We start from the raw sequence: 10,673 nt of genomic DNA, 5'->3' as shown, positions 1-10,673 counted from the left end.
TGAAGAGGAATTTGGCTGAGTGCTATGAATGGAATTCCCTCTTTACATTTTGTGGATACTGCTGTAAACAATTTAAATAGGTTTTCAATTATTTTGGATTGTTAGAGCAGTGTATCTTCTGAATATGCACTAAGCGGAGGTGAACATTAGGGTGACCCAGATTTATGCAGATTACAAAGGTGGCCAGGCATGGTGGCTCATGTCTGCAGTCCTAGCATTTTGGGAGGCCTATGCAGGAGGATCGCTTAAGCCAAGGAGTTCAAGACCAACCTGGGCAACATAGTGAGACCTCGTCTCTACTAAAATTAAAAAAAAAATGACAACAACAACAAAAAACAAATGTAAAGTACATCCCTTCCATGCATATGTGTGCATCACACACATACATGCAACTCCTTTATGCTACATTTTGGTTTGTTACTTACTTACTTAGTTGTCTTTGCTCATACTAGGATAAACTTACCTACTCTAAGTAGGTACAGAAAAAGAAAAGTCTGATTCTGAAGTAGAAAAAAAGTAGAAAGATTTTCAAGGCCCAAATTAATCTCTGCCTGGAATTCTATTCTGAAAGGGCAAGAACAGCTGAGACAGAATCTTCTAACTTTCGGTCCCTTCATTCTTTGAGAAACTACTAAAGTGCTGGAGGTAAAATAGTGACTCAATAGCCTGCATACCAGTGAAGGATGTTTCTATTTTATTGAGAACCTGCAACTACAGTTATTTGTCATATAACATTATTTTAAACGTTATTCTACACACAACATACAATTTTACTAATAGGCTCTTACATCCTTATTCTTCATCAGAGTAAATAGTATGTAATTTTTTTCACATCAGATGGGTAATGTGCCAATGTCGTAACAAGGTTTGAGGGAGGCACATCTCACACATAAGCATGAAAACCCAATCATCATGCTTATGAACCACAGAAAACTATGTACTTGAATTTTATGTACATGTTTAGTTCCTCAAAATCCTGAACATGGGACATAGAGAGTAGAAGAATGGTTACCAGAGGCTGGAAAGGGTAGTGGGGGGTTGAGGGGGAGGTGGGGATGGTTACTGGGTACAAAAGAAAATAGAAAGAATGAATAAGACCTACTATTGATAGGTCTTATATATATATATATATATATATATATATATATATATATATATATATGACCATGGAATACTACTCAGCCCTAAAAATGAATGAAATAATGTCTTTTGCAGCAACTTGGATGGAGCTGGAGGCCAATATTCTAAGTGAAATAACTCAGGAATGTAAAACCAAAAATTGTATGTTCTCACTTATAAGTGGGAGCTAAGCCATGAGTACGCAAAGGCATACAGAATGATATAATGGGCCTTGGAGACTCAGAAGGGGGAGGTGAGGGATAAAAAATACTACATATTGGGTACAATGTACACTACTTGAGTGACGGGTGCACTAAAATCTCAGAATTCACCACTATAAAATTCATCCACGTAACCAAAAACCTTTTGTACCCCAACAGCTATTGAAATAAAAAATATTTAGAAAGAAGAAAAAAGAAAGTATTTGGTAAAACACAATGCCCGTTCTGATAATAATTCTTCATCAACCAGAAATATAAAAACACTGCCTTAACAAGATAAAAAATATCTTTCATAAGCCAATAGCCAACATCATGTTTAATGTTACTAAAAACATCAAACAACAAAAAGCTAGAAGCATTTCCACTGAAGTAAGGAAGAAACAAAGAATTCCAGATACCACCATTGTTGTTCCATTGTTGTTCAACATTGCCCTATAGGTTCTAGCTACTATGATAAGACATCATTAAACAGCAATAAGAGGAAAAACTTATCAGCATTCCCAAATGATGTGCTTGTTTGGCTGGAGAAACCAAAAGAATCTAATGGAAAATCAATGGACCAAATAATCAAATTTATTAAGATGGACCAGTTATTTTAAAAATACACAAAACTCACTTATATCATGTTTTTCTATAAATTAGCAATATATAGTTAGAAAATGCATTGGGAAAACATCATGTTAGTAATAGTAACATACGTTTTTTAAAGTTAGCTTGAATATGCACAATGTGTTCCTCTGCATGTTCATCTGCAATTTCCGGCAACAGAAATGACCACTGTCTTGAGTATTTACTATGTTCCAAGCTCTGAACTGAGACCAAACTTCCCAAAATGTAGTACATATGTGCACACTTTCCATTTTAATATTGATTTTACTCTATATTATAAGGAAAAAAACTAGCACATCCAACCTATGATTTCATGGATATCATTGCTTAGGATGAGGTTTAAGAAGTCTCTTTTAGAAAGCAAATTTATTTCAGTTAATAAAAGGAAATTTTATTTTAAAAGGGAAATGAGCAAACATTAATCAAGGCAGTGGAGTGATAGGTTCCATTTGCCCCTCTGCACCCACCTCTGTCTGCCTCCTTCCCTCTGTCCTCTACCAGGAAGCTAACTGACATGGACCATATCATCAACTCCCTTGCTTCTGGCATTTTGCTGGCCTCAGCCAATGGGAGGCCCCAGCAGGAGATGGCAGGTAGGCGGAGAGTGAGGCTGAGGTACATGCTCGGTTCCCTCCTTCCTCTCCAGCTGGACCGTTGCAGGCTGACTGGGCCCTTCATTGATGGCCATTGTCCTGAAGCCTTCTCTAAACAGCTCCCCAGTCCTGTGTGTGTTTTCTCCTCTTGCCCCCTTCAGGCCTGGCATGATAATAGCTCCCCGCAATTGCTAACCTTGGGTCCTGCACTGTCCCTCAGCTGGTTCCCTTGAGCCCTGCCCACACTTTTTTAACAGATCCCTTTCCTAAATTTTCCTCAAAATTACCCTGACAGATATGGTAATATAGGAATTACTCAGGTCTGGGAAGCCACACTGTGCTATTAAGTCATCATAACAACCTTTTAAGATGAGTATCATTATCCCCATTTGACTCAGGATGAAAGTGCAGCTTACAGTCTAGGTAACTTAGCCGATGTCACTGAGCTATTAAATGGCAGGCCCAGATGGGCGGTCTGGGGTCTGTCTGTCCGCTGTCAAAGCTTCCTTAGGCTTGAACACTTCACCACGCAGCCTCTCAGGTAAACACGAAACTGTGTCCCACCTTGCTGCTAACCCATCACTTCCTTGTTGTAGTTCCTCCAAGTAAAATATAATAGTAACTCCGGCCAACTGTGACCTAACTCCTTGGGTTTCTTTTCAGGTCCAAATGTTTTAGAAGGCCTTGTTCTGAGGAATGGTTGGTTATGTATCCTTGCATTTAAAATCCCCTCAACTACCAAGTGGTTTGGGGGTTCAGTAAGGAAAATGAGCCCTATACTAATATCTAGTATCCTACAGAACTGACACTGCTGTAGTTAGTTTTGTCCCACTTGAGGTGATAAAAATAAAGCACAATAATCCCACACCCATCCAAGAATGGCAGACTCCTGAAGTGATGCCAGCCCTTATTCACCCACAAGAGTTCTCATAACATTTAAGCCAACTAATAATAATGACTCGTGTTGTTCTCTTTCCTTCCATACATTTTAAAGGTTTCATAAACCACATTACACTTTATAAAATCATTCTTTTCTGGGAGAGGACTTACACTTTACTCTCGAAATAGAGAGAGGAGATCAGAAATTTTAAATAATTTGAAGTGCATTTCACTTTTTACTGAGAAAAATTTGAGGGATCTTAACCTTTATTTAGTGTTTTCGTTTTTTCTTCCTCACTTGGAGAACAACTAATTTTATAGATTCAAGTATTTAATACTTTCCAAGTACAAATTATCTTTTCAGTGTTTAATAACAATAAAATAGATTCAGGTCCCCACATAGTCCTTAGAAGGAAGTGCAGCACTGTAGATAAGAGCTTGAACTTTGGCATTAGCAGCCCTGAGACAGAATCCCCAGTTGTGTTATCTTAGGCAAGTTTCTTAATCTCTCTGTGTCTCAGGTTCTTCATGTGTAAAATGAGACTAATAATGGCATTGACTTCATAGGGTTATTGGGAGAATCCACGTAAAACTTTAAACATGGGGCTTAATAGCAATTATTATTATTACTCTATGGAAGCTTCTGTGATAGGCACTGAGGAGGGTCAAAGATGAAAGAATCTCTGCATGCAGGTGGATGATAATTTTATAGAGAAAAAATGAGAATAAACAACTATAAAAAAGGTACAACTAATGGATGTTCCAACAGAAATACGGAGTGTCATAGCAACACAGAGGATGGAGAAATTATTTCCAGCTTTGTATTCCAGGGAAAGATGCATGACAGAGATTGCATTTACACTGACCCTGAAGATGGGTGGGGATTTTAACAGTTTGATTAGGGGGAAGGGAATCTTAGGCAGAGGAAACAGTGGGAACAAAGGTCCAGAAGAAAGACCATCAGTGTTGTGCTCAGGGAAGAATGAATGATGATGCTTAGCTGAAGCACAGTATGCATTAGGGTTGAGGGAGACAAGGGGACTAGAAAGGTGGACAGCAGAAGACAAAGCATAAGATAGGCCGGAGGTGGATGGGCATGTGGGCACATAAGAAACTAAAGCCAAGAAGGAAAGGAGAACTGGAATAGTGTCAGCAATTCTGGGTCCTACTCCTGATTTGTATTAATTAGGCCATAGGACCTCCAGATTGAGTTTCTTCACTTAGGAATGGAGGGCATTGGACCAGATGATAGGCAAGATCCTTTTCAGACACATCATTGTAAGTCTAAAAAGCCAAGGTGGTTAGTAAGCCATCTTCAGCCTGAGTCAAAATGCAGTAATGATGTGTGCTGGTGATGTCTCAAATTGAGTGACCATATCAGCTGCTCTTCACAAACCTTTAAACTGCAGGCCAGGCCACCTTTCATTGTGTCCAGTCTGAAAGGGGAACAGCCCAATATGAGACCAGAGGTGTACATCTCTCCTAACAAAGCTGAAAGATCCGCCCCCCATGAAAGAGGATAATGACACATTTAAAAATAGGACTTCCCCATCATCTATCTTGGGGCAAAAACTACATGGTTTGGCCTTAGTGATGATGCAACGAATGCAACCATTGTTTGAATAACATAATAATAACATTTGGCAGGAGCTTCTAATTTTGCTAATGGGAGAACATCAATTTTGACCAACACTCTCACAGAAGACACATAAAACACTAACGAAATATGAATCAATGAAAATCTAATGAAGAGACAGAAATCACCCATTTTAATGAAGATAATTTAACATAAAGAATTGTCAACTAGGTATGAAGTTATTAACCAGGTAATGGAAAACGCAAAACGAGAACACTAAGTTATTACAAAGGTAACATCTGCTGCAGGCCGCTACAACTCCTGGGGCTGGGAAGCAAAGGAAAGACATACAGGAATTATAAAAACTTAGAAGCTTGGAGGAGGGTCCCACTGGGCTGAGACCCAGACCTCTCAGGAAGTGACATCAACCAGTGGTGCTGGTATCTCATGGGGGAGTGGTGGTGGGGAAGGGTGGCAATGAAGGTGTTAGAAAATTGCAAACTAGATTTAACTGCCACTGTCAAGGAGCCATACTTCTGGTGTGATGCTCACAGGAACACGGAGCAGACAGGAAGGAGAACGTCCTTTCCTCCATCTCCCGCCTTCCAATCTCCTCTAGTGCCCCCTAGGTAGCCAGCTTGGAAAGAAAAAATGGGTTTGCACAGTTCCTGACCCAACATCACAGGATGGAGTATTATAGAAGAGTGTTGTATCAGTCTTGCTATAACAAAATACCACAGACTGGGTGGGTTAAGCAACAGAAATTTATTTCTCACAATCCTGGAGGCTGGAAGTCCAAGATCAAAGTGTCAGTCAGCTTGGTTTCTTCTGAGACCTTTCTCTCTGGCTTGCAGCTGATTTCCTTTTGTGTCCTCTCATGGCCTTTCCTCTGTGTATGCACATCCCTAGAGACTCTTCTTCTTATAAGGACATGAGTCCTGTTGGATTAGGGTACCACTCTTATCACCTCATTTAACCTTAATTCCCTCTTTACAGGCCCTGTCTCCAAATACAATCACATTGGGGGCTAAGGCTTCAACATGGGAATTTGTGTGTGTGTGGTTGTGCGGGTGGAGGGTGGAGGGGGCTTGGACACAACTCAGTCTATAACAGATGGGTTTGGAGCAGAGAGACAATTACATTACTCACCTGCACAAAATATATGAAACATCTTAAAAATCATCTAGGAGCTATGAGATGGTGAGCAACAATCAGACTAAGATCCAGAAAAGGACAGTAACCTTAAAAGTTAAGAAAAGCTCTCAGAGCAACTTCTGTCCTAGGGGCTTTTTCTGATTTGGAAGGGAGACCACTGAGATGCACTTTCGACAGCTTCATGGGACTAGAGGATAAAAGTTAAAATCTGGCCCACAAAATGTGGGAACCCAGGTAAAGCACCTCTCTTTTCACTGAGATCTTGAAGTCTGCACCCTTTGAGGAAGAATGAAAAGGAAGTAAATGAGCCTTTACAGGATTTGCTGCTTGGTTTTGCCATCATCCGGGGGCTCTAAAAATCCCAACCTTTGACTTTGAGTAAAGGTGATACTAGACTGCTCTCACCTCCAGGATCCAGCAAAAGCAAAAGCAAATCTTTTCCAGAAGAAAGTAGCATCATCCTAGGTAACAAATAATTGATACAAATAATCTTTTATATACAATATCCAGCACACAATAAAATATAACCAGGGACATGAGGAAACAAGATAGCATGGCTAAGGGTAATTGAAAACAGCGGATGATAGAAAAAAGTAACAGATGGGTGACATATATAGAATTGTTAGATACAAACTGTAAAATTACCACTTATTATATTGAAGAACATAAAAGCCAAGCATGAAAATTTCAGCAAGAAAGAGACAATATGAAACATGACAAAGCCAACTTCAAAGAGAAAATACAAATTTTAGAGCTGAAAAATAAAATGATCAAAATTAACAACTCAATTGACAGCTTTATCAGCAGCTGAGGAGAGAATCAGTGGATGGGAAGAAGGATCACAAGAAATTATCCAGATTAAGACAGGGGGAGACCAAAGGGAGGAAACTATAGAAGAGTGAGATTACAAAGGACAGAATGAGAAGGTCCACATTATGTTTATTGGAATTCCCAAAGGAGAGAAGACAGAAAAACAGACGATTTTATGTATAAAATCCAGCCTAGACAGATCATAGTTAAATTGCAGAAAACTAAAGGCAAAGACCAACTTTTAAAGGAAATCAGAGAAAAAGACAGATACTTTTAAAAGAAACAGTAGTGAGACTGACAGCTGACTTTTCAACAACAAGAGTAGAAAGCAGAAAACAGATGATTAATATATCCAATGTACTGAAAATAAATGACTGACAACTTAGAATTCCATATCTGGTGAGAATATTCTTCAATAAAACATGCAAAATAAATATTATTTCAGGCAAAAATTGAGAGTTATCTATGAGCAAATCAATGCTAAAGAATGCTAAAAAGCATTAAATGAAGCTCTTTAGGCAGAAGGAAAAAAGAAAATGAAACAAGATCAAATGTTAAAAAGGCAGAAAAAGAGAACTATGAAAATGATAAATATGTGGCTACATGTAAATGAACTTTGTATAAAACAGTAATATCTTTTGGATTTAGAAATTTTATTTAAATATACTTAGATATAGATAGGTTGAAATAAATAGATTAAAAACAAAAAATCCAACTAAATGCTGCTTATAAGAAATCATCAGAAACAAAAGAAAATGGAACAATTGAAAGTAAAATGATGGTAAGATATATACCATCCAAACACAAACAAAAAGAATTCAGGCATAGCTTCATCCATATCAGACTAAATGGACTTTAAAGTCAACATTCCTTGTAATAATACAGATAAAATTTACCAGGATGATATAATAACTTTTAAGTTGATATGCAAATTGCATGGCTTCAAAATACATACAGCAAAATTAACAACACCACAAGGAGAAATAGGTAATTTCCACAATCATAGTGAGAAATTATAACATCCCTCTCCCAATAACTGACAGTTACCAGACAAGAATCAGTAAAAATACAGAACTGAACAAAATAGCTAACAAATTTGATCTAATGGGCATCTATAGAATACTCCATCCAACACCTGCAAAATACACTTTTATTTCCTAGTACACATTGAACATTTACAAAAATTGACTATATACTGGGCCACAAAACAAGTTTCAACCAATTTCAAAAAATTAAAGTCTTGAAAAATATGTTCTCAGATTGAAAGGAAAATATTTTAAAAATAAATAACAAAAAGTGATCAGAAATCTGTAAAGATTGAGATTCCCTTCTAAGTAACTCATGGGTTCAAAAAAGAAATTACACTAAAATTTACAAAATATTTTCCCAACTTCTTATTTTGAAAAATTTCAAAATCATAGAGAATTTGAAGTAATACAAAAACACTTGAATACACTTCACTTAGAATCATGAGTTGTTAGCATTTTGCCACACTATTTTTCTTTCTTTCTATATGTGTGTGTATGGCCTGTTTAAAAAAATTGCAGACACCATGTTACTTTACTATATATTCTATAAAAATAAAGATGCTCCCCTATATAACCACAATATCCTTACTGCCCCAAGAAAATTAGAATTGCTATAATACTATTTACTGCAGAATATTTTCAAATTTCTTCAATTGTTCCAATAATATTATTTATAGCTGTGTTTGTTTGTTTTTGTATTCAGGACCAATTAAAGATCATGCATTATTTTCTGTTGTTATGGCTCTTTAGCTCCTTTCATCTAGAATAATCCTCTTTTCTTTGTTTTATTTTATGGTCTCTCATGACATCAACATTTTTGAAGAGTCCATGCTGATTTTCTTATAGAATACCCCATGTCTGATTGTTTCCTCATTATCAGGTTTAGCTTAAACATTTTTGGTGAGAAAACTACATAGTTAATGCTGTATGCTTCCCACTGCCTCACATCAGGAGACATAGAATTTGTTTATCCCATTTTTGATGATGCCAAGTTTGATCACTAGGTTAGGTGAAATATCAAGGAGCCACAAGGTACTTTTCTCACTTTGTAATTAATAAGTAATCTGTAGTGTGATAGTTGGAGATGATGTGAACATCCTGTTCTCAAATAACTTTTTACTCTGGTAGAAATTATTTTGAACTGTATGAAAAAAATATTACATATCAAAACATGAGAGATGCAACAAATGTAGTGCTTAGAGGGGATTGTATAGCCTTAAAATGCATAAAACAACATTAATATTAATGAGCTAAATATTCACTTTAGTATGTTAGAAAAAGAATAGCAAGATAAATCCAATGAAAGTAGACAAAAATAATAAAAAAGAAAAATATTGAAATAGAAAACAAATATATATTACAGAGGATTAACAAAGCCAAAACTTGATTTTATTTAAAAGGCTAATAAAATTGATAAACTTCTGGTTAGTCTAATCTTGAAAAATAAGAGACAGATAAATTATCAAAGTCAGGACTGAAAAACTCATATAGATACTAAAATGATAAGTTGACATTATAAATATTTTATATTACTCAAAAGAAAATTTAGATAAAATTGACAATCCCTATATAAAGACAACTTATCAAAATTACATGATAAAGAATAGAAAAGCTTGGTGGAGAAGAGCACAAAATGAATTTAATGCATAAAAACCTTCCAATAAAGAAAATCCCAGATGTACATGGCTTTATTGATTAGTTCAACCAAACAATTAAGAAAGAAGTAGCTCTTAATCTTTTTTTTTTTTTTTTTTTTTTTTGATGGAGTCTTGCTCTGTCACCAGGCTGGAGTGCAATGGCATGATCTCGGCTCACTGCAACCTCTGCCACCTGAGTTCAAGCAATTCTCCTGCCTCAGCCTCCCAAGTATCTGGGACTACAGGCACAAGCCACCACACCCAGCTAATTTTTGTATTTTTAGTAGAGACGGGGTTTCACCACGTTGGCCAGGATGGTCTTGATCTCTTGACCTTGTGATCCACCCACCTCCGCCTCCCAAAGTGCTGGGATTACAGGCATGAGCCACCGCACCTGGCCGTAGCTCTTAATCTTAAACTTCTCCAGATAATAGAAAAGGGAGGAAACCCCAACTTATTATCTAATCCTGGTATAACCTAGGCAGCAAAACACAAGGACAGAATGGGGTGGATGTAAAAATCCTTAATGAAATATTAACAAAATACAGAACTAATAACAAAGTTGGCATTATCCTAGGAATGCAAGGCTGCTTGAACATTAGCAAATAAATCAATGCAATTTGTTACAATAACCAACAAAAGGGTGGAAATCATATGCTCATTTCAGTTGATGCCAATATAAACTTTATTTGTACAGCTTCTATTCATGATTTAAGATTTTAGCAAAGAGCCAAGATGGCCGAATAGGAACAGCTCTGGTCTATAGCTCCCAGCGTGAGCGACGCAGAAGACCGGTGATTTCTGCATTTCCATCTAAGGTACCAGGTTCATCTCACTAGGGAGTGCCAGACAGTGGGCGCAGGTCAGTGGGTGCACGCACCGTGCGCGAGCCGAAGCAGGGCGAGGCATTGCCTCACTCGGGAAGCGCAAGGGGTCAGGGAGTTCCCTTTCCTAGTCAAAGAAAGGGGTGATGGACGGCACCTGGAAAATTGGGTCACTCCCACCCGAATACTGCGCTTTTCCAACGGGCTTAAAACACGGAGCAC

General features: G+C 37.4%; 1 non-coding gene across 1 annotated transcript; it reads right to left on the bottom strand.

Annotated features, from left to right (window-relative positions):
* Positions 1–831: 831 nt before the first annotated feature.
* On the bottom strand, positions 832–935 carry LOC124905270 (small nucleolar RNA U13). Its single transcript, XR_007068434.1, has one exon. It is a non-coding gene; the product is annotated as a small nucleolar RNA U13 (small nucleolar RNA).
* Positions 936–10,673: the final 9,738 nt, after the last annotated feature.

This window comes from Homo sapiens, chromosome X (genome assembly GCF_000001405.40).
Source record: "Homo sapiens chromosome X, GRCh38.p14 Primary Assembly".
NCBI lineage: Eukaryota > Metazoa > Chordata > Mammalia > Primates > Hominidae > Homo > Homo sapiens.
Note: the sequence above shows the minus strand (reverse complement) of the source record. Positions and strands in the feature narration are given on the sequence as shown.